Genomic DNA, 24,998 nt, shown 5'->3' with positions numbered 1-24,998 from the left:
GCCTCATAGGCATTAGTGAAAGAGATAAAGCACTTAAAATGCCTTATAAACCATAATAAAAATGTAATTTTTATTATAAAAGCTACAAAAATATAATGTATTTTTTAATTGTAAATGAGGAAGCAGTAGCCCTTACCTCAGCACAGCCCTCTCTGGGTATAGCTGCCCTATTAGAGTACAAAAACAGGGCACTGAATATTTTACCCTGGCCTAACCCAAAAAAGGGGCAGAACTTTCTTCATGCTCCTCAATGTAGTTTAAAAAGAATTTAATTAGGGCATACCAAAGTGTTGGTGGGCCATAAAGCTTATACTAAGGGCACTCAGCTCAGGACGTTCTAAGAAAACATGTGAAGATGGACTTACCCATCTAAGCCACTCTGAGGACCAAGAATGCACCAGTGGGAACCAGATTTACTGAGTAGGAAGCTGGTTCTTGTGAGGAGTGGAGGGACAGGAAGCAGTAGAAACCTGGCACCACAGGAAGGGCCCTGTCAGGATCTCGGCTCGGTTTGTAAGAGAACTGTCCAGCCGTTCCCCTCTCTTGGGTCTCTGTTTCATCCCCAGTAAAATGAAAAGGGCGAACAAATGAAGTCCCTCCCAGAGTAGACAGTCCTTGATTCAGTGTGTGTGTGTGTCAATAAGAACTGCCAATAGAGGCTTGCCACTGTGTATGAGTTTGCTAAGGCTGCTGTAACAAAGGACCACACACTGAGTGGCTTAAACAATCAAAATGTATTGGCTCTCAGTTCTGGAGGCTAGAAGTCTAAAGTCAAGGTGTCAGCAGGATTGTTCTTCTCTGAGGGCTGTCAGAGAAGGATCTCTCCCAGGCGCCTCTCCCTGGCTTGTAAATGGCTGTCTTCTCCTTGTCTCTTCATATCATCTTCTCTCTATGTGTATTTCTGTGTCCAAATTTCCTCTTCTCATAAGGACAACAGTCATATTGGATTAGGGCCCACCTGTCTCAGTTTGCTAGGGCTGCCATAATAAAGTACAACAGATTGGGTGGTTTAAATAACAGAAATTTATTTTTCTCCTGGTTCTGGAGGCTAGAAGTTTGAGGTCAAGGTGTTGGCAGGTTTGGTGTCTTCTGAGGCCTCTCGCCTTAGCTTGCATATGGCTACCTTCTCACTGTGTTCTCACCTGGTCTTTCCTTCGTGTACTCACACCCTGATCTCTCTCTCTCTCTCTTTCTCTTTCCTGGTGTCTCTTTGTGTGTCCAGATTTCCTCTTCTTATAAGGACACCAGTTAGGTTAGATTAGGGGCCACCCTAATGACCTCATTTTAACTTAATAACCTTTAAAGACCTTGCCTCCAAATACGGTCATATTCTGAGGTCCTTGGGGTTAGAGCTTCAACATAGAAATTTGGGGGAGGGGAGACAAAATTCAGCCCAAAACATCTCCCTAATGACCTCAGTTTTACTCAATTAACTCTGTGAAGACGCTATGTCCAAATAAGGAAATCAACATATGAATTTGGGAAAACACAATTCAACATGTAATAAAAGTAGAGATGCCTCCTCCCCACCCTGCCAGCCTGCAGGGATAGGGGACCAGACCTTCCCTGCCTCAGAACCAGATCACACAGCTGGTTTGTGGCCTGCCCTGCGCAGTATACCAGATTGCCTAAATACTGAAAACAGAATTGTATCAGTACCTTGATTTGTGTTTGCGCATGAATAACGAATACTACCAGTTCTTAAAACACTGCACTTAGTTTGACAAAACATTTACACTCTACATTGTGCTAGGGGCCAGTACACAAAGATAAAAAAGACATGATCCTTGCCTTAAGGCAGAAGACAGCTGTATAAGTAAACAATGATCCGAGATTAGACAGTGTGACGGATGTAAAATGGAAATATATGCAAGGCAACAAACAGGAGGGAATTATTAACACTGTCTCGGGGGATTAGAGAGAGCATCCCAGAGAATGTGACATAAACTGGGTTTTAAAAATAAGTAGAAATTACCCAAGCTGATGAAAGACATTCCAGGCAGAGGGAGGAGCAGATACAGCTGGGTCTTGCTCTGTATTATCTTGTAGGTGATAGGAACTAATAAAGAGTTTTAGATAGAGGAGTGACACCATCAGTCTTGCTTTTCAAAGAGGAACTCCAGTAGTATAGAGAACAGACTGGGGCAGGGAAGTGGGGAAGAAAGAGAAACCAGTTCCTGGGGGCCATTATTGCAGTCATCCATCAAAATGATGGGACCCGAGCCAAAGCAGCAACTGTCAGTTAACAAAGACATTTTTCCTAGGGCATACAAAGGAAAACCCCAGCCTTGGGATGAAAGGGTGGGGTCCGAGGGTTTATTAGAGGTTGCTTTGCCATCTGTCATCAGGACAGTGATTTTAAGACATTTTTCATTTTCATTAATGAAAACCTCACAGCGGTTAATGGTGTGATGAGACGGAATGCAATGTGATGTGAGCACTGAATCTTGACAGGACTCACTTAAGCGAAACTGTGCAAAAACTTATATGTTCCTTGAAATCTTTTTCTTTAGGTGACATTTGTTCAGGTCATGTATTCATCCTTGTTCCAATTGCCATTTCAGTGTGTTAATGTCTATCATAATGAAGCATCTTTATTGCAAAGTCCAATTCTTAGGGTGCTATGAAGTACTCTGGCTAGGTCATGTGAAGCCAGTGGATGTGGGTCAGCTGTGGACAGTGTGTGACTTGCTGCCATCCTCGATGACTGTATTCTGAAATAGATATGGCTGTGCTAGAATGAAGGAATCTAGAAAGGAATGCCCCTGGAAGCTCATCTTGAAGAGAGGATCTTTTTCAGCAGATCAGCAAACCGCTGGCTCAGCACCTCTGAGTTAGCTCAGTGAAAGAAAAGGCTGACGCCTGCCAGTGAGCTCCGGAGGCTTCCCCTTTCTAACAAGGTCATTTCTTCAAATAGGGAGTTCCCATTGTTTCAGAGTCACTTAGATGTTCCAGGCACTAAGACAGGTCTCTCTCTAGGGTCTTCCCAATTTAGCGAGCGTAAAAACAATGGTGGAAAGGAAAAACCTGGAAACTTTGCACAGCCCAGAGCCTGGTCATGGGCCACACCCGCTATAAGGGAAGCTGAGACACATAGCTCCTAGCTGAGCAGCTACATGCCCAGAAAAGACTCGTATTACCACGAAAGCATGAGCGCAATCTCACTGGAGCTAGTAGCCTCTGCAATGCTGGGTGGGATAGGCAGGTTGTAAGTGATTTTTCTGGAAGCTGTGAACTCCGTAAAAATGTTTACTTGGATGGTCCCAGAACTTAAATTAGTATATGGTTCATGAGGATCCTTCCCCACCCCCAGTTCTGAATGGAAACTGCCACGAACAAGAATGTATCTCTTGAAGATGGCAGCCTTTGCTGACAGAACCACATGAAAGGCAGGAAGGAGATCCGGCACGCTCCCACCGTTACGCTAACGTCGCAGTATCTCCTAGGTGAACTGCATTTGTTTCTCAGATTCTTTTTAGTTTTCTTTTTCATCTTCCCTAAAAAAAATATTAATAATAAGATTTTGGGACTTGAGAAGAGAGAGAGAGAGAGAGACACGCTTCTGTGTTTCTGTGACAACACTTTCAGAGACAAGAAAAAAAACGCCCTCTGGCTTTTTCCTTGGATGTGTGACTGTCTGCCAAGTTATCACGTTTAAACCACAGACAATAGGTGGAGAGGGCCCAGGGTGGAGACTCGAGCAAAGCACTCTTCCCAAATGGCATGTGAGTTATTGACCAGCCTGCTCGGCCGCCTCTAAGAGCCTCGGGAGTAGGGGGAGTTCCAAACCTCTGGTTCAGAAATGTTCAGGTAGCATTTCTTTGTGAATGAAGGAGTCAGGAGCTTCTAGACCCCAAGACAACTTTGATTTCTCAGCATCACCATCCAGAGAGGCCTCACTACATGACTGAGCAAAGAGAAGAAGAGCTGGAGCTTCTGCCACAGGAAATGGTGGTTTGAAAATGGGAGCACAGGTGAAGCGCCGATGGCACAGACACACACTTGCCTCCTGGCTCCATCTTGTTATTGTAAAGTATAAGCCAAGTGGGTCACTTCTCCTTCCCTTTGATTCCTGCCTTGGGCCATTCAGCAGGTGACCCTGCATTCCTTCTGGTAATTTTTAAACAGAAAGCTACGTGACAGTCTTTTTCTAGATCCATTTTTGTGGACTCTCATTTAATTTAACTTAGTTCATCGAGTGCATATTGAGTGCCCTCCTGCCCTATATTGTTTCCGGTGGAATGGAGGATACAAATAAAGAATAAGGTACAGGGCCTACCTTCATGGAATTTGCAATCAAAGTGGGACTTCTACATCTTACTAGCTAGAAAAATATAATATTTAAAGAAACATATTATAATCAAGGAACTGCTACTAGAATTCCTCTTTGAAAAGGAATTGTATTTGTTTATGATAGTACCTTAATAAATGCTAGAAGGCAGGTGGAGACCCCCCAGGAATCTGGGTGTGGGTTGGATGGTTCTGTATGAGAATGGAGGAAGATGATACTTGTGCAGAAATGGGAAGAGAAAGAGAGAGTCTGAACCTGCTAGGTGGTGAAAGCTGCCTGGTTCACAATGGAATTTGCTCCCTGGGACCCTTCAATCTTCAGCAGAGAACTTAAACCCACAAAATTATTGGTGTAAGTTTTTAAAAAAAAGTTTTTTTGGTTTGTTTGTGGAAACTGATTGTATTAGTCCGCTCTCATCCTGCCAATAAAGACATACCTGAGACTGGGTGATTTATAAAGGAAAGAGGTTTAATTGGCTCATAGTTCCACATGGCTGGAGAGGCCTCACAATCATGGTTGAAGGCGAATGAGGAGCAAAATCATGTCTTACGTGGCAGCAGGCAAGAGAGTTTGTGCAGGGGAGCTCCCATTTATAAAACCATCAGATCTTGTGAGACTTATTCACTCCCATGAGAACAACATGGGGGAAACCACCCCATGATTCAATTATCTCCACCTGGCCCCACCCTTGACACATGGGGATTATTACAATTCAAGGTGAGATTTGGGTGGGGGCGTGGCCAAACCATATCACTGATGAAGTGACTAAACCTTGCACCCAAGGAAGCACAGAGTAGAGCAAGCAGAGTTATAGGAGCAAAGACTTAGAGAACCATGAGGAAATTACTCCCAGAAATTACAGAAATCATGTGCAGCTTGACCTGAACAAACTGTAATAGTAGCACTTTTTTCATACTTATCCAAATTTCTAAGAGCATGGGGTCTCTGACATTTGATTTCCATGTAAATATAATTAAAGAATAGCAACAAATGGATGAGCACCAAGTATAAAAATACTTGGGCCTACTATACAGGTAGGGAAACTAAGCCATAAGTAAAGAACAGATGGGACTGAAGCATCTCTGGACACTGGTGAAGAGACTCCTTTGGACTTAAGATCAAACTCATTTTCTTGTCTTTCCAATCAATCAACAAGAATTTACTGAGACTCTATTATGTACTGAGTACTAAGAGAGCTGTTAAAGTAGTGTAAGAGATGGTCTCTGGCCTCCTAGAACCTAGCAACTATTTGGAGAATTGAGGCTAGCAGAAGTAATTGACACTTACTGACCACATGATGGATTCCAGATATTGCTCTAGGCACTTTCCATACATTACTATATGGGTTTCTCAGAACAACACTGTGAACTTATTGTTATGCTCATTTTACAGATGAGGAAGTTGAAGCCACAGAGGGTATGAGTAGCTTATCTGTAGTCACAGAGCTATCAAGTGGTAGACCCAGAATTTGAACTTATCTATCTGGCTCCAAATACCATCACTGAAAATGGTCTGCATGGTAAAGATGATGTTGCCAAAACTCAGGTTCTAAGATACATGACATAAACCACAGGTGCTGCAGGAGTCCAAGGGACAGGGAAGAACAAGAGCTGGGATGGTCAGGAAAGGTGACACAAAGAAAGGAAGATTGGCCTGGGCATCAAGGCTAGGCAGGCATGGTGGACAGCTTAGGGTGCAGCAGGAAGGAGAGTATGGAGTGGAGCCTGGGGCCAGGAATGAGCATGTGTTGGATGGAGGATGATGAAGGATGGGTTGGCTGCTCAGAGGGCTTTTGACTCAAAAGGTTTGAGTCAAAAGGGCTTTGACATCACTACTGCCTTCTTTATGGGGACCGCATCTCCAGAGGCTAAAGCACAAACCACAAAATCTGCAGTTCCCATCTTATCCAGCTCTGCCACTGACTTTTTCTATGACTCTGGATACTCCTGTCTGTGTCTCAGTGTCCTCAAAATAAAATTAGTGGGTTGGGTGAAATAAGCACTATACTATAGTTCCCTTAAGGTTAAAAAGGTCTATGATTCATATTTGTATCCAAAGATGAGGAAAAAAATTAGAGTTTATGAAATATCTTTCAGGACCATGGCCAACTTGTCTCTCAGATCTAGATGGACTGGCAGAAGCTTGTCATAGGACAAAGGTAGCAGATTGCTTTCATCCTCTAGAGACCCTAGAAAAGATAGAGAGGGCCGGCGTTGTCATGTCCTGAAGCCTTGGTGCTGCACCCAGTCATCGTTAGTTTCTGTGAGTTGGTGGGCAGCAGAGCAACCGGCGTCGGGCGCGAGGGAGAGGAGGCTGACTCACCAGGCATTACTGGTGCAGTTTTGTCTTTTATTTTCCAGTTCAGAGGTACTACTTTGTCTGTTGGTTTTATTTTTTTAATCTCAAGTGAAATTGGAAAGAAATATTATCTTTTAAAATGATATAAATGGTGGGGGTGTTTCTTCTCAAATCAGTTGTTGTATTGGAAGTTCCCAAAGTATCTATGATAGAAGAAGAAAGAGGAACTAGTCAAAATAGTAAGTGCTACTATAATGGTTTGCTGGATCAGTTCCATAGGCTGACGAAACACAAAGTTCAGGCTACTGGCTTTGCTTCTTATCCTAGTATTAGAGTGATTTCTCCAGTGGTTCCTAGTGTCGATATCATAAACCTTGAATGAATCAATCTGTCTCAAACACACACATACACACATACACACACACACACACACACACACACACACTCCTGCACAGAGGGTTCTCAGTGACCATAAGTCACTCAGAGTGGAGCTGCTCCTTCCTCCAGCATCAGCAATGATTCAAAATGTCATGCTTTATACAAATTCAGAACTCTCTGCCTGCCTCCTAACTTTTTTTTTTAATCAGAGCATAAGACTGTTGAAGTTGGTATCTGGCAAAATTAAAACATTTAATTTAGGGGATAGAACCTATAACCAAGGTGTTTGCAAAGTCAGTTCAGTGAGATTCCTTGGGCTAACTTGATGTGTGAAAGGCCTAAGGAGAAAAAGAATCTTTTCAAATCCAGAAGGCAACTTCTTGCCAGCTATCAGGCTGGAGGCCCCTTTGGATCTTGTAGGCTGCATTTTATGAATTCATTGAGACTGTCTGTATCTTTGGTCAACTCTGTAAACATCTGATTGTGTCCACCATGATTCTTTCCTTTGGAACCCGACTATTTTTCTTTCAATTTCTGCCCCACAAATTCCTCACAGGTTCAACAACAAGCAGGCTTATTCCACAATCATCCTTATAAGTTTCCCTTACACATTAATGTTAACATCTGGTGTTACTCTATTTAGAACCTTAGTGCGAATATTCTACTTAGAACCCTAGGGCTTCAGCTCGGTCCCCACTGTTCATTACCCCGGTATAACTTTTTCCAAGCCCATAAGTCTCTCTAACTCTCCAAGAAGTCTGTCTTTAGTATTCAGCCACATTTCTACTACTAAACCAAGCTCTAGTTCTTGAGGTTCTCCAGGCTGTTTTCCTTCTCCATAAAATGAGAATAATGAGTGTACCTACCTTGTAAGATTATTGTGAGGATTAAATATGTTAGTACACATGATGCACTAAAAATATGTGGCCCATTGCAAGTGCTCAATAATTGTTCATTATAATCTTATTGAGCTACATGTCTTGTTTACTGGGGGTGATAATTCTCATTCACTGTTTGTCAAAGTGTTGCTCCTAGTTCAAAAGGATTTGATAAAGTGGGTAAAGGAGAGAAAACAATAAAAGTTTTCTCTCTGATTTTGAGCCTTGATGATTAGTTCTCGGGCTAATTTTAAACATGAAGATGATTTAGAGGAAAGACTAAATACTTTCCTTTCAGTTCAGGTCTGCTGGGTTCAACCCAGTTATTTGCATGAAAGGACAACAATAGCACTATTATGTTTATTTTTAAAAAAGATAAGTAGATCTTTCTTCCTCCCAGTGTCTCATGAGAATAGCGTGAATTCACAGGGACGGCACATGGAACCATTATATTCTCTTTACCCAAAATGGATACAGGACACATTAGCAATCTTAAGATGGAGAAACTGGGCAGAGAGATTGACTTAGGAGAGATGAAGATAATTTAATGTTAGACATGTGGTAGTTGAGTTAAAAATAAAGCATTTGGATAGAAAAATCTTCATGAAATTAAGAATGTGAAAGTATAGTGAGAGAAATTAGAATAAGAAAACAGATACAAAAATTTTCAGTGGTCTAAAGCTGACCTCTAAAACCATGAAAACAAACGTCTCCCTTGGGAGAGAATGCAGAAATAGAACATGAGGCTCCATTATCCCACTTTCATGTAAGATGTTTTTAAGCTCAGAATACTTTTGAGATTGCTCTTTGACTTCTTTTTTTTTCCAGAAACAAAACCATGGGCAGTGTATGCTGGGCTGTTAGGGGGTGTCATCATGATTCTCATCATGGTGGTAATACTACAGTTGAGAAGAAGAGGTAGGTGTCTGGCAATAAATAGATTCTTATCACACTCTCTGTGGTAAGCAGGGGACCTCTCTCCACAGGCTCGGACTTGCTCTCACAACTCTGGCTTTCTGCATGGGGCCACCTTTGCAAAAATAGTAGATAAACATATCCTGGGACCTTGCTTAATTCAGTCTAATTCAACATGTCTTGATCCCCTCTACTAGGCTGTGGAAAGAAATAGAAGAGCCACAGGTTTCTAATGTGAGAGACATTATTCAGATAATTTCAGTTTAGTGTGACTAGCACTGCCATCAGGGTAAACACAGGATGCTGAAGAAGTGAACAAGAGGTTTAAGAGTATTCACTGGGAACAGAATTCAGAAAATTATTGGATCTCATCCAAAAAGTCACCAGGGTTAGAATGAAACCAATAAGGCACAATTATTCCCCTGCAGTTGAAGTGCCTAGAGGTACCATCCCCTGTCCTCTCTTCCAAATTTCCCTATGATACAATATCTCAGGGCATTGTGCTCCCCTCAGCCACCTTGACTACTACCAACCAATACTGGAGTCAAAATGTCCTGACCCAAGACCAGGAGAGATGCCCCGGCTGCCTTCCCATGGTAAGGATAGAACTTGATCCTCATAACACTGAGCTGATGACTGATTTCATTCTCAAGTAGATCAGTGTCATCTACACACAACCTTCTTAGAAAAGCCCTTACCTCAGCACTCTGATGTTGGTTTTGCATATATAAAAAAATCTAGATCATAGCACAGCGACCTACTTGTGTCTCATTTCCTCCATCTAAGAGTTAGCCAGGTAGGAGGGATGGGTGATTCAGATAGAAATTAGGTTGACAGCCTATGGGGCTCGGGGTAGGGCAATCACATTTAGCTCATACTATAAGGAAATAGTGAGATGACCCAGGATGAGAAAACTGAACTTAACTTATCCACATTAACCTACCTAGTAAAATTGCTGGGATCCTACGCCATACTCTTTCCTCAACCACACTTGGCTTATCACATGGTTGTGCTCTAAGGGAATAGTGCTCCCCATCCCACAATTCCCCACTACCTTCCCCAACACACATACCCATCCTCACCTCAACCCCATTCACCATTTGTCCCTTGTAAGTTAGCAACACACAAAACTGCCTCAAACTTGCGGTAAAATTTATATTTAGTTGCTGCACCTTTCATAAAACCTTGCTAAAGAAATTATATTGGCAGCTTCTAATGCTATAATCATCAGAATGCAGCCTGACGCTGAAGGCTTTTCAATTTCATGACTCTTTGGCAATTTCATGTCCAGGAGAATACACTGATAAAGAATGTGGGTATAGGCATTAGACAAACTTACATTCAGATGCAGATTTTGCTACTGACAAGCTGTGTGATCAAATGACTTAACTTCTCGTCTGCAAAACAGGGGTAATACTATGTACTTCATGGTATTGTGGTGGAGATTGGTATCAATACACAGAAAACACTGAACACAGTGGTTCCCATCGATGGGTGATAGATAGATAGATACATAGACAGATAGATACATAGACAGATAGACAGATCTCTTAGTGTAGATGAATTAAAATGGCAATGTGTAAGTGCTATGGCCAGGAGAAGCTGCACTGGAAGCATCTGGAAACAATACCTAGAACAGATTGAAAATATTTTAAGTCATGGTAACATAAGACTTTATGCTTCAGGTAAAAGCTGAAAAGGATATTAGATACTCTATGCCCTCATTTTACAGTTATGGTAAGAGAAAAGACCCATTGAGATGACGTGATTTGTCCAATGCCACACAGCTAATGATGGCTACAATGTAGATGTCCTAATTTTAAGGCCAAGACTTTTTCCTTAGAGCCTAAGACCTTGCTGACTTGGAGCCGAGTTAAGCTTACTCCTAAAAACCTGTTCTTGCACTGGGGAAAATAACCTGAGACTAAATTATCTTGGTCCAATGGTCCTTTTAAGCAGCAACAATCAACCTCACCTCTTCCATCTGTCTGACCATTTAGGACTGTCCTTCCAGTTCTACATTTGACTCTGAGCTGACCTGCAAGACTGAAAGTCTTTGAGGACTGTAGTCTGTTCTCTACTCTATTTGTAGCCACTACAGCACCTAGGAGAGTGCTGGGCAGGCATGTCTTACTTTGCAAACACTCGTGGGGACTAACTTGAACCTCCTCTGCTACCTCCAACTGCTTCTTGAGTCCTCCCCTCCATTTTACACACACACACACACACACACACACACACACGCACTCACGCACACTCCTCAGTCAGGATCAACTCTGACCAAAAAAGCGAAGTTGAAACCACTAGGCACACCGTGCTCATACCCACACACAAAAAATCCCATGTTGACTTTCCTTGAATTCCTGGAACTTCATCAGTGTCTGCCCCACATTTCCTCCCCAAGACTCACACCCTCACGCAGCACATTCCACCATGCTCACCACATACACACTGGGCCTTTCCCTTCCAAAGAAAAATGTGCCTCTCCTAAAAATGCTATTTCCTCAGAGATGTGCCTTTTTTTTTTTTTTTTTTTTTTTGAGATAGATTCTTGCTCTGTCACTCAGGCTGGAGTGCAATGGCATGATCTCGGCTCACTGCAACCTCTGTCTCCTGGGCTCAAGCAGTTCTTCTGTCTCAGCCTCCTGAGTAGCTGAAATTATAAGCGCGTGCCACCATGCCTGGCTAATTTTTGTATTTTTAGTAGAGACAGGGTTTCCCCATGTTGGCCAGGCTGGTCTCAAACTCCTGACCTCGTGATCTGCCCACCTCAGCCTCCCATAGTGCTGTGATTATAGGCGTGAGCCACTGCACCCAGCCCAGTTTTTTAAGAGAATAAATTAACTGGTGTTAAAATAAGTCTACCTTAAAGGCTGTGATTTTCTGGGTCCAGCCTCCATTGCCTCTGCCTGGACTTTGCAATAATCCCATAATAAACCTCCATCCTTCAGTCTGCCACTTTCCCACCATCCTTACTGCTGCATGATGTATACAAAGGATACTGTGCAACTTTAGAAAGAATGAGATAGGTCTACTGTGCTAACATGAAAAATGTCCTCAATACATTTTAAGTGAAAAGATCAAGTTACAGAGAAGTGTGTGCAGAATGACACCTCTTGTGTGGAAAAAAGTCTATATAAGTATAGCAAATATCCAAAACTGCATTGTCTAATATGGTAGTCACTAGCCACATGTGGCTTTTTAAATTTAAATTAATTTGAATTAAATAAAATTTAAAATTCAGTGACATTAGTCACAGTTCAGGTGCTCCATAGCCCCGTGTCTGTAAGCTGTATTAGACACTGCAGATATGGAACATTTCCATCATCTCAGAAAGTTCTGTTGCACAGAGCTGATCTACAGGGATATACATCAAACTTTTAAAAATGGTTTCTTCTTTTTTTTCCCACTTCTTTTCACAGGTATTGAAAAATACGGTTTCTTTTGGGAATGAAATTGGGTTGGTTAATGGAAGAAGGGGATTTATACTTTTTACTTTATACTTTATATATTTCTTCACAATTTTTATTTTATGATGAGAATAAATTACTCCTATAATTTAAAAAGAAAGCTTTTTAAAATTGGCTAAAAATTAAAATATTCTGCAACTTATTAATTTCCAGAGACCCTAGGCCCTGAGCAAAATTTCCAGATGGTGGGCAACAGAATGACATTGTTGCTTTATTTTCTAAATAGTCCCAGGTGGAACATCCCTCTTACACGTCCCCCCGCCCTTACCTCCCACACATCAATTCCCCCAGAAATAGGGAGGTGAGAAAGCTGTGAGTGAAGCAACATACTACCAGCTGGAAAATACAAAAGAGGTATAAACAACTAGCCCTGCCCTCAAAGAACTTAGAATCCTATTAGGAGACCAGATATGCACATTGAGCAACAGAGATTAAAGTAATTGAATGGTACACCAATGAGAAAAACACCTAATGCGTATTGGGCATTTGTTATGCACCAGGCAGTGTTCTAAACACTTTACAAGTGGTATCTCATTTAATTATCACAACAGCCCCGTGAGGCAGGTATTTCAAATCCCATTTCACAGATAGGCCTAGAGTGATCAAGTAACTAACCTAAGACAATATGACAAATGTGCAGGGGGGCTGGGACTCAGGGCTTTGTTTCCATTGTGCCCTTGGGGAAAGTGGGTATGCAAAGGACAGTAAAGACCAGGTCTGAGTAAGGAGCTCCTGCTGGGGACCAGAGGGAGATAACCATTATGGTTTCTTTTCACCAGGTAAAACGAACCATTACCAGACAACAGTGGAAAAAAAAAGCCTTACGATCTATGCCCAAGTCCAGAAACCAGGTGTAAGTTCTATATTTTGTTTGAGATGAACCTGTCATGTTTCCTAGAGTATTCCTGGCCAGTCTACCTTGCCTGTTGGACATTCACAGTTTTCCATCCAGAGCAGAGGAAGGTAGGGAACAGGAGTCAAGAACAAGAGTTCTCCTAAAGTCACTAAACGTCAGTGTTTGAAATAATGGGCAACACTGGATAATTTTCTGGTCATGAGTCTTCACAGGAAAAAAATGAAGAAGCTGGAAATACATACTGTATGACTCTTTCCAGCTCTGGCATTGTAGGAGTCTAGGTTCCATGTTAGTCAATTATTTCCTTTTCTAGGGAAAAGAGTGCAGGCTTGAGGAGAGAGGAGGTTTGGAAAAGCTATTGTGTGACATGTTGGACTGATCCAAGTTTAGGATTTACTAAGTGCAAAAGTGACAAGGAAGGTAGGATCTTCAAAATTCTAGCTAGAGTGTGGTTAAAGAGATGAAAGATGAGATGGAAGAAAGAAAACTGTGACAGAGTGATCACTGGACTAAGAAGTGAAGGATGGAAAAACTGGATGCATGGTGAAGTTGAGAAGCAGATATGCTTGAAGGAAGGGATAGAGACGCTAAAAGGATCGTGGTTAGATGTAGAGACACTGTAGTTTTTCAACATGAAGGCAATTCTTGGTATTGTATAGGCCAGAATCTGGACATTTGGGGTGTAGGTAGAGGCAAATTCTTGAGTAAAGGATGTGAAGGTAAAGATGGTTTTGATAGTACCTTAGAAAATTGCATGAAAAGACAGCAAATGCACTTCTGAGAACCAGGAGATGGACTCTTGAACAAAGTTCTTATTTCTGCTGTCCCCTAGTGGCCTGGAGGGCTTATTACACAACCCAGCTCCATCCTTCCCCCAACTAAACTCCATTTAAATAGATGAGAATCCCAAGAGTAACCCTTTCACCCCACGCTCTCATCTGCCTGTTTAGGTAACCAGGTTCACCTTGACCATAGTGTCTTCCCTCACTACTCTATCCTATGCTGCTAGCATCCCTCTTTTTTACTGTGAAGCATGACATATGGTAGTCACTAGCCACATGTAGCTTTTTAAATTTAAATTAATTTGAATTAAATAAAATTTAAAATTCAGTGGCATTCATCAGTTCAGGACTGTCCTCCCAGTTCTACATTTGAGTCTGAGCTGACCTGCAAGACTGAAAGTCTTTGAGGACTGGAGTCTGTTCTCTACTCTATTTGTAGCCACTATACACCTAGGAGAGTGCTGGGCAGGCATGTCTTACTTTGCAAACACTCGAGGGGACTAACTTCCACCTCCTCTGCTACTTCCAGCTGCTTCTAATCACACTTTTAGTCCTCTCCTCCATTTTACACACACACACACACACACTCACTCTCACATACACACACTCATGCATACCCACTCCTCAGTAAGGATCAACTCTGACCAAAAAAATACACAACACATTAATGTCAGCTCAGTGAGTTACCCTTAAACACATATCTCGATATTTGGTAAAGCAAGTCTTCCTAATTTGTTTTTCTGCAAAAGTTTTTGGCTATTCTTGTTCCTTTATACTTTCATATGTATTTTAGAATCAACTTATCAAGTACCACAAAAAGAAAAAAAAATATTAGAATTGTATTGAGTCTACAGATCTATATGAGGAGAAATTACATTTTTCAGTGTTGCGTGTTTTTTGTTTTTTGTTTTTTGTTTTTTGACAGAGTCTTGCTTTATCGCCCAGGCTGGAGTGCAGTGGTGTGATCTGGGCTCACTACAACCTCCGCCTCCTGGGTTCAAGTGATTCTCCTGCCTCAGCCTTCCAAGTAGCTGAGATTACAGGCACCTGCCACCACACCCAGCTAATTTTTGTATCTTTAGTAGAGATGGGGTTTCACCATGTTGGCCAGGCTGGTCTCAAACTACTAACCTCAAGTGATCTGCCCACCTCAGCCTCCCAAAGTGCTGGGATTACAGATGTGAGCCACTGTGCCTGGCCTCAGTATTGAGTCTTCTAATACCATAAAACTACCACTCAGATCAAAGACTAGAACATTGCCCGTACTTCCTGAAGGCCTCCTGTGCCACTTCCCAATCATTACTTCCTCTCTCCTCCCCAAAGATAACCACTATCCTGACTTCTAGAAAAATAGGTTAGCTTTTTCCTTTTTTATTTTTGAACTTTATAAAAATTGAATTCTTTATTCTTTTTTCTCTCATGTCTGATTTATTTTGCTCAGTATTATCTTTATGAGATTCATATATGTCTTTGAATTTAGATATAATGCATTCTTTTTCATTGCTTCATAGAATATAAACGTATGAATATACTAGAGTTTATTTATCCAGTTGACTATTGATGGACATGTGGGTTATTTCCAGTTTGAGGCTATTATGAAAGTTGCAGCTGTGAACATTCATATGCAAGTCGTTAAGTGGACATGTGCACATATTTTTTTGGGTATATACCTAGATATACCTGGAAGTAGAACTGCTGAATCGTAGAGTATGCATACCTCCAAATTGACTAGATAAGGCCGAGCTGTTTTTCAAAGTGGGCGTATCCATTTACTTTTCTATCAGCTACATATGAGAGTCTCAATTGCTATGCCTTTTTTTTTTAAATTTTTTTTTGAGACAGAGTTTCACTCTGTTGCCTAGGCTGGGGTGCAGTGGCGTGATCTTGTCTTACTGCAACCTCCGCCTCCTGGGTTCAAGCCATTCTCCTGTCTCGGCCTCCCAAGCAGCTGGGATTACAGGTACGCACCACCACACCTGGCTCATTGTTGTATTTTTAGTAGAGACAGTATTTCACCATGTTGGCCAGGGTGGTCTCGAACTCCTGATCTCAGGAGATCTGCCCGCCTCAGCATCCCAAAGTGCTGGGATTACAGGCATGAGCCACCACTCCTGGCCTCAATTGCTATGCATTCTAATGAAAACTTGGTATTAACAGTCTAATTTTAGTCCTACTGTTGGATGTGTCTTATTATGCTTTTATTCCACATCTCTGTAATTATTAAGGAAGTTGAACAACTTTTCATATGTTTATTGGCCATATTAAAATTCTTTCTTAAAGTGCCCATTTAATCTCTTGCCCATTTCCCTTTGAGGTTTAGTCTTTCTTTTATGGACTAGTATATGCTTTTCATATATTTTGGATATGTGCCCTTTGGCAGATATGTTAGCAAATACCTTCACCCATCTGTAGCTTGCCTTTGGAATTTCTCAGAGATACCTACTGATAAAGAGAAGGTCTTAATTTTGTTGTAGACCAATTTAGTCTAGTCCTTTTTAAGCATTACTGGATTTTATTTGCTAATATTTTGTTAAGAGTTTGGTTTTCCACTTATGTTTCTGAGTGAAATTGGCCTGTAATTCTCTTGTATAATGCCTTTTTTTTTTTAAGAAGGCACTGCAGTGGCTGGTATATAGCATTCTTGTGAATATATCTAACTGGGATACAAGTTGAGGTAGAAATATTTCAAATGTCCTTAAAAAAATAAGTAACAGAGTTCTTCCTGGACTCTTCTTTAATCACAAGCCTCAGATTGATCCCAAAATGACACACAGCTACTCTACCTAATACCCACATCACGGTAAAGTTGGTCGCTCTCCTGTTAAAAATTCAGACTTTAAGAACTGGAAGGGACCTGGGTAGTCATGCCCAACCAGTGGGGTTTTGATATAAAGATTTATGCTAATTCACATAAGGAGTTGGGGTATATGTTAGTTTCCTAGGGATGCCTTAACAAATTACTGGAAACTTGGTGGCTTAAAACAACAGAAATTTATTCTCTAACAGTTCTGGAGGTCAGAAGTCCAAAATCAAGGAGGCACATCCTCAGGGCCACACTCCATCTGGAGGCTTTAGGAGAAAATCCTCTTTGCCTCTTCCAGCATCTGGTGGCTCCAGGCTCTCCGTGGCATTTGTTGGCTTGTAGTTGTGTATCTGCAATTTTTGCCTTCATCTTCACATGACCTCCCTCTCTGTGTCTTCTTCTTTTCCATCTCTTATAAGGACAGTCATCATCAGACTTCGGACTTATTCTAATCCAGGATGACCTTATTTTGAAATCCTTATCTTGACATCTGTGAAGACCTTTATTCAAATAAAGTCACATTTTGACATTCTGCCTGGACATATCTTTTGGGGCCACAGTTCAACCCACCACAGGGTGCATTTCCTTTTTGTTATTCTCTGCGATATTTGGGTAGGATGTCTTATTTCTCCCCTTAAATATTTGCTAGTAGAGCAAATTGCTAGTAAAGCTATCTGAGACTGGGGTTTCTTTGGTGGAAATTTTTTTAAGTTATATTTTTATTATTAAATTTTCTCCTCTACATATTAGTGAACAACTTTTTTCAGTCTTTTTAGTGGCTACCCTAGAAATTATAAAATACAACTTTGACTTACCAAAGTCTAAGGTTTACTTCCCTCCTGCATAATACTTCAAGTCCACAATAATTTCACCTCTTGATTTAAGTGACCGTTTTGTCATTATTTGAATTTCATATATATTTTAAACACACAAGACATAATTATTATTGTTTTATATATATAAATATATACTTAGACTTACCCACATTTTCACAATTTTCTTTGTTCATATTTGCGATGTCTTTATTATATCAATATAAAGACTGTAATAATGTAGACAATTATTTAAAAACTAACAATGCCTTTATTCTTATTTTTAATGGCTATAAAATAATCTTATAAAGAATATAATAACATGAAAATCACTAAACAAGTGTTTACTGTGTGCTAGGAACTCTTCTAGGACTTATCAGAGCTAGTATCTTGCAGAATTAATTCCAGCGGCCACCATTCACAAAAATTATGTGAAAATAATGCCTCTGGAGTTGCTTGTAAATGATGCTCCCTAAAGATGTACAAATCAGTGGTCCTAACAGAAGATAATAAGATACAAAAATATACTAACTTATTATATTTATGTTTAAAATAATTCCCTATGCCTGGATAAAAATCCTGAAGTGAACATTTAAGCACACACAGAGTCTTAATAGGACTATGGGTGACTTCTTTTACATATTTTTCTCCTTTCTAAAACTTCTGAATTAATGTTAAAAATGTAAGTTATTTGCCTCCTTCTGCCTCTAGGTCAGGTTATGCTAAAGTTCTCCCAAACAGGAAGACCAGCAGAGGTTGCATCTGTTGATAAAGGTCTCTCTTCTTTTTTTTTTTTTTTTGGTGATGCGGAGTCTCACTCTGTCGCCAGGCTAGAGTGCTGTGGCGCCATCTCAGCTCACTGCAACCTCCAGCTCCCTGGTTCAAGGGATTCTCCTGCCTCCGCCTCCTGAGTAGCTGGGATTACGGGCATGCACCATCATTCCTGGCTAATTTTTGTATTTTTAGTAGAGATGGGGTTTCACTATGTTGGCCAGGATGGTCTCGATCTCCTGACCTCGTGATCCACCCACCTCAGCCTCCCAAAGTGCTGGGATTACAGGCGTGAGCCACCACGCCCGGCCAAAGGTCTCTTAATAAACTGTTTTGATAGCCTCTTTATCTCATCACTGCAAGAAATTCTTTCTTAAACTCAAAATTTCTTCAAAATGTATTTAAGAATTGTATGGGATCTTGAAAGCCATCTATCTGAACCACCCAATTACTGCTTGAATTATCTGCTACAACATTACTTCCAAAGTGTTGCCTAGCTCCTTTTTACTGAAATATAGTTTGTGAACAAGCAGCATCAGCATCACCTGGGACTTTATTAGAAATGCAGAATCAGGCCCTGCTCCAGATCTTCCGAAATAGAATCAACCCTTTAACAAGATCCCCAAGTAATTCATATGCATAATAAAAGTCAGCAGCACTGGTCTAGACCATGCCCAAGCACTTATAACTATAGGAGCTCATTGCCTGCCAAGGCAATTCATCCCACATTTGAACATCTTTTACCATTAGAAAGATCTTCATTATATTGAATCAAAATATTTTCCCCAAATCCTAATCTTGGTTTAAACCTGAGATACTTTATAGGCAAATTGAATTCCTTTTCTATATGGCAATTCATCAAATATATGAAGAGAAAAATTATGTCCCATCCCTTTTTCCTCCAATAAACTTTCCTAATTCCTTAACCCTTCCATCACATGACAAAATTCCAAGTTTTCTCGCATTAAAACACATGTGGTGTGGCTTCAAGTCTGGCTCTATACCCAGGGAGAGTGGACAGCAGCATTATCCCATAACCAGTGTCCCCAAAATGTGTTGAATTAATGACTTCCCTATTGTAAGTGATGGCATCCGCATCTTACAAGGATGTGGTCTCAATTTATTTTGAGGTCTTTGTCCAGGAATTGTGGATTTTAATTCGTTCAAAGTAACATCAACAAATATCAGCTGAAGAGTTTATTTTTATGTGTCCAATACTGTTCTGTGGGGAGTACAAAAATATATGGCTTATTTCTCAAGGAATGTATAGACTGGAGAAACAACACATAAATATATCAGAATGTTTTAAATATAGCATAGAGTGCCATAAAGTGTAAATTAGACTTTAAATACCTGAGGAATTTAAGTAAGGGATAGGTCATTATAAGTTGAGTGACCAAAAAAGAATAGTGATAGAAAGGACATGCACCTTAAGTTAAAAGAGCTTAAGGCAGGGGACTCCCGGCTTTGACACTTCTTGCTTGTACACATTAGGAAAACATTTGGTCTTTCTGAGCTGTAGCTTCATCATCGGTGAAGTGTGAGTAACAACAGTATTTAACACAGAGTGGTTGTGAGGCAAATGAGAAGACATATGTGAGGAGGAGGAAGAGTAGGAATGGCAGTGTGGGATGCAAGAATTCTGCATGTAGCCGGTGATATGAGTGAGACGGACTAAATTCTGTTGCTATTCTGTCCCCTCCAGCTGCCCCTGTAAGAGCCACACCAATTTCAGTTTCTTGTGAGGAAGACATTTAAAACATTTGAGAAGCACTGACAATGGATGAGGCTGCCTTGGGAGGTTGTGCACCCCAAGACGCCACTTGGGGAGTCCAAGCAAAGCCTGGGGAATTGAGTTCCAGAGAATTTGGGGGAGAATTCCCACCTGAGAAGGAGGTTGGACCAAATGACTGGAAGGAACTTTCTGCCTCAAGTCTTCTTGAGTCTGTGCTTCTCTATCGGAGAGTTGGGTGAGAACTAGCTCTCTCTGTTCAGCTAATCTGCTTTCTTTGCTTCTCTTGTAGCCTCTTCAGAAGAAACTTGACTCCTTCCCAGCTCAGGACCCTTGCACCACCATATATGTTGCTGCCACAGAGCCTGTCCCAGAGTCTGTCCAGGTGAGGCATCTCTCTGCCTACTCTCCGTAGAGAGGGAATACATGAAGGAGGGGAAAATGAGGAAGTTTTTTTTTTTTAAGGTGGGAAGAGGGAGAGGATCAGGGAAAATAGCTATTGGGCACTAGGCTTCATACCTAGGTGACAAAATACTGTGTATAACAAATCCTCATGACACAAGTTTACCTATGTAACAAACCAGCACATGTACGCCTGAACTTAAAATAAAAGTAAAAAAAAAAAAATTAAAACAAAAACAAATTAAATGAAACAGATTGATGAGTCCTGGACTGGGGAAGGGAGGCCACAGCATGCAGGCAAAAAGGAGTCTCTGTGGCTTTGGTTTTCCAGTTTCCATGAAGCCCCCAATACCTGCTCACACGGGGCCACTGCTAACCCCCTGCTGGCCAGTGTTTCCCTGAGAGTTGTCCAAGGACCACATCAGAATCAGCCAGCGTACTTGTTAAAAATAAAGATTCCTAGGGACTTCCACCTAGGATTCTGTTAAATGAAAATGTCTATGGAGAGTAGCCATAGACCTACGTATTTAAAAAACCCACACCCCAGGTAATTCTGATACACACTCAAGTTTAAGAACAGCAGCTGGAGTCCAGGAGTTCTCAACTCCAGCTACAAAACAGAATCACCAGGGAAGCATTGTAAAAATGCTCATGCCTAGACTCTGTGCAGCCCCATTTAATCAGAATATTTAGGGGTGGAGATCTGCATAGGTGTTAAGCCTAGAAGAGAATATGGGGTGCAGCTCAAAATGATACTTGCATATTCTACCCTATTGCAAGATCAGCAGGGACTAAGTTTACTTCGGACAGGAATCTTTCCTTTACTGAATGAATAGAAATAAATTCTGGGCTGAAATCTTTGCTCCATTTGGGCTCTTTCAGAAGAGAGCCCAGGATGATAGAGGCACAAAGGTCACACAAATGCCTGCATCCACCTTATTTTTCAAAGCTCCTACCGCACACACACTCATCCAGAAATGCCTGGGCAGGTGCCCTATATTTCAAGATGAAACCAATCTTCAACTTGAGGTCCATTCTCACTTCACTGTCATATCTAAGAAGGAAGTAAAAATATAAACCTGACTTCAAAGCTTCAAAAAAATACATAGATTTTTAATGAAGTTTACTTAAGGACAAAAACAGTATGCTATAGTTAACATTTTATGGCAAAACCCTTAAATTCTATTTTCTTTGTTTCTTTGACATGAGAGATCTTTGCGCATAACCCTCTTCTCCCCTTCCTCTCTCCTGCCAATACCACTTTTCTCTTCTCCCTTTGAGTCCCACTAGACTTTTTAAAAACTCAATAATTTACAACTCTCTTGGCTTCCCAGATTGTGACCCATATGTAACAGCAAAACAAATGGTTTTCCTTACAAGGGGATGGAAGGGGAGAGGGCAAAGAGGGAGACAGGGCACTGAGTGCTGGTCCTCAGATCATGCTCCCCATAATAGCATGCTTATGCTTGGAAGGGAGCTGTGGCCCTTGTTGCAGGTGGAGAAGCAGTGTGGGAACCCAAGTGCTGTCCCAGCAAGGCCCTGTCTGTGACAGACCCTGCACAAGCCATGATCTCTAAGACCCTTTCCTTTTCCTCAGCAGTGCTGTTTTCATTTGCATTCTGTGAAGTGAGTATCCAGTCCCTCTACTCACAGACTTCTGCTTTGTCCCCAGGAAACAAATTCCATCACAGTCTATGCTAGTGTGACACTTCCAGAGAGCTGACACCAGAGACCAACAAAGGGACTTTCTGAAGGAAAATGGAAAAACCAAAATGAACACTGAACTTGGCCACAGGCCCCAAGTTTCCTCTGGCAGACATGCTGCACGTCTGTACCCTTCTCAGATCAACTCCCTGGTGATGTTTCTTCCACATACATCTGTGAAATGAACAAGGAAGTGAGGCTTCCCAAGAATTTAGCTTGCTGTGCAGTGGCTGCAGGCGCAGAACAGAGCGTTACTTGATAACAGCGTTCCATCTTTGTGTTGTAGCAGATGAAATGGACAGTAATGTGAGTTCAGACTTTGGGCATCTTGCTCTTGGCTGGAACTGGATAATAAAAATCAGACTGAAAGCCAGGACATCTGAGTACCTATCTCACACACTGGACCACCAGTCACAAAGTCTGGAAAAGTTTACATTTTGGCTATCTTTACTTTGTTCTGGGAGCTGATCATGATAACCTGCAGACCTGATCAAGCCTCTGTGCCTCAGTTTCTCTCTCAGGATAAAGAGTGAATAGAGGCTGAAGGGTGAATTTCTTATTATACATAAAACACTCTGATATTATTGTATAAAGGAAGCTAAGAATATTATTTTATTTGCAAAACCCAGAAGCTAAAAAGTCAATAAACAGAAAGAATGATTTTGAGATCTCTGAGTTTTGAACAGTGGACTGGAAACCATGTAAGAGCCTTAAAAGTACAGTTCTGTGCAAATGGCATTCAGTTTTAAAGAAAAACGTAGCAAATGTTTGATGGTGCTGTTACAAAGGAGCTTGGAATACTCAGAGGAACTTGTCCCATGGTGATTTTTCACTTCTCAAAATGATGTTTAAATCCCAGTTCTCTGTTGATTCCCTTGAACAACAAACCTGGAACCTCAGCTAAGACTCTCTGTGACCAGATTCTGAACCTCTTATATCCAGGGCTTCAAGGGGTATTGCAGGTCAAGGTCTTTCCTAGGCACTTTCTACTCCCTGCATACCTCTCCTCACACTAAATTTATCCTCTAGTAGAAAATTAAGTTATTTTGGTCTAACAGCTTCAAATCTTTGAATGCTCAATAACTTATTTTGCAAGCTGCAGGCAGAAAGAGACTTTTTAAGTAAAGTCCTTTGTTTTTTCCTATTCTCTGCTTTTAGACAGGCTGTCCTCAATTTAAGCCCTGCTTTTTCTTATTGTTTCTTATATAAACTTGGTAAGTACTGTAAGAAACAGCCACTATCATACCATTGCATAATAAGGAGCACCAACTTCCCAGCTCAAAACTCAGGTCCTTATTGCCTTGTATCTTACCTCCTCTATGAGGTCAATTCACATTGTAAGCCTGTTGCTTAGTGCATCTCGTTTCCTGGTACCAGCTTCTTTAATAGAGTTCTTAGTTGCAATCAACAGAAGCTGGCTTTGGCTTTTTTATGTAGAAAAGGAACCTATTGAAAAGATACTGATTGGTTCCAATAACTGCTAGAAGTTTCTGCAAAACCATGCTTTGAAAGTGAGCAGGAAAAGAAGAGACTAGGCTGTGGCTGGGAGCACAGCCAAAATTACAAAACCAGCCCAGGGATGATGATCCTGTTCATGCACAGCCACTGTCCCCAGCACTAGGCACAGACTCTACCACTGCCTCACTGTCTCTGCTGGACTTGGAAACTTGATATTACTGTTACTGCTGCACTGTCTGCCATGAAAATGAATTCTCCAGGGTCCCTTCTTCATCCTTTCATCTCTAGCTTATAATTCAAAGTCTGGGATTGAGTGGCCAATCCTAGGTCACATGTCCATGTCCTATCTCCAAGGGGGGCTGGGAATTGAATATCTGGCATTTTCCACTTTCACTTCTTATGAATTAAGGAATTCTACAAATAATAGAAGTGGGATTCAGGTGGTAGGCAGACAAAAAAGCCTCACAATTATCCACTACGCCACCCTTGTATAACCTTACCCTCATTCACTGTCTACTCTCAAAACTGTGGAGCTACTAATGAAGATTTGTAAACCCGGGCTTATGAGCACCCATTCCTTTACTACAACTCAGATTGCTCTAGAAGCTCAGTTCCCAGCACTTGGATTTTTCCAGTAGCTGAATTCTACCTGAAGGAAGGGCAGAAACAAAGGGTGAAGAAGAGGCTATCACTTCCAAGTATCCTGCACCCCTGGGCTCAAGACCTCACTGGGGAGGGAGTCTTTTGGGCCACCCACCAAACAGCACTGGCATTATGCCTCTCACCCTAGACCATGGTTACACGTGGTAAAACAACCCCTTCTGGTGATACATTCACAACTCTCTAGTTTCCCCCAAATGGCACTATGGGGAGCGGGAGCTTGCCTTTTCCTCAGACTTAAAACAATAAGTTTTCCCCGTGTTTCCCCTCTAATGCTGTTTTCTTTTGACCAAGCATGTCTGAATTCTAGAGAAGTCAGGAGGAACACACCCATTCTCGGTTTGAAGGGACTGATGTTCTGAAGTACAACTGGGCACAGTCCCAGGCTCTTCAGGACGCTTCCTCCATTCACACAGCGGGGATGTGATTGTTACAGCGGGTGGTGTGTGCTGGCTGAGAAGCCACTGTGAATTGATTCTTCTTCTGAAGTTTATGTTTCTACTTTTTGGAAATGAATAAATTACAGCCAGTCCATCAAGGAAATTGCAATTTTGTCTTGTGTTTCCTAAAGGATTTATAACACAGTAATATGGCATGATGTGTTTCCTGGCCTTATGTCTCCATGCCATAGTTATGAAATGCTGAAGGAGGCAGATTTGATCAGATAGGATGTGAGGTTGTCCCTTTCCTGGAGGTGGACAAGGGTTAGCTTGGCATCCCCTTCACCAAAGGTCAGGAACCACCCTCCACATGGAGAACTGTGTTGAAAGGATTGTTTAATTTTTGTC

General features: G+C 41.4%; 1 protein-coding gene across 11 annotated transcripts in view, besides 3 other annotated features; it reads left to right on the top strand.

Annotated features, from left to right (window-relative positions):
- SLAMF1 (signaling lymphocytic activation molecule family member 1) overlaps positions 1–24,753 on the top strand; it is a 38,939-nt gene extending 14,186 nt beyond the window's left edge. For 2 of the 11 annotated variants that reach the window (NM_001330754.2, XM_017002131.3), the window contains 5 exons: positions 8,674–8,763; positions 9,274–9,356; positions 13,010–13,083; positions 20,279–20,371; positions 22,061–24,753. In NM_001330754.2, the coding sequence (NP_001317683.1) occupies positions 8,674–8,763; positions 9,274–9,356; positions 13,010–13,083; positions 20,279–20,371; positions 22,061–22,094 (374 nt within the window). In that variant the 3' untranslated portion in view covers positions 22,095–24,753. Of the gene's footprint in view, positions 1–8,673; positions 8,764–9,273; positions 9,357–13,009; positions 13,084–20,278; positions 20,373–22,060 lie in introns of those variants that run through there. The other 9 variants (NM_003037.5, XM_047428490.1, NR_104401.3 and 6 more) reach the window with 7 other exon arrangements.
- Positions 3,110–3,199: an enhancer, noted in NCBI's record as "active region_1937". NCBI's record gives its function as "activates an Ori minimal core promoter by ATAC-STARR-seq in GM12878 lymphoblastoid cells {active_cell/tissue: GM12878}" and the evidence as "EXISTENCE:reporter gene assay evidence [ECO:0000049][PMID:35858748]".
- Positions 5,510–5,559: an enhancer, noted in NCBI's record as "active region_1936". NCBI's record gives its function as "activates an Ori minimal core promoter by ATAC-STARR-seq in GM12878 lymphoblastoid cells {active_cell/tissue: GM12878}" and the evidence as "EXISTENCE:reporter gene assay evidence [ECO:0000049][PMID:35858748]".
- Positions 7,985–8,114: an enhancer, noted in NCBI's record as "active region_1935". NCBI's record gives its function as "activates an Ori minimal core promoter by ATAC-STARR-seq in GM12878 lymphoblastoid cells {active_cell/tissue: GM12878}" and the evidence as "EXISTENCE:reporter gene assay evidence [ECO:0000049][PMID:35858748]".
- Positions 24,754–24,998: the final 245 nt, after the last annotated feature.

Source organism: Homo sapiens, chromosome 1 (assembly GCF_000001405.40).
Source record: "Homo sapiens chromosome 1, GRCh38.p14 Primary Assembly".
NCBI classification, from domain to species: Eukaryota; Metazoa; Chordata; class Mammalia; order Primates; family Hominidae; genus Homo; species Homo sapiens.
This window is presented reverse-complemented; position numbering and strand designations above follow the sequence as displayed.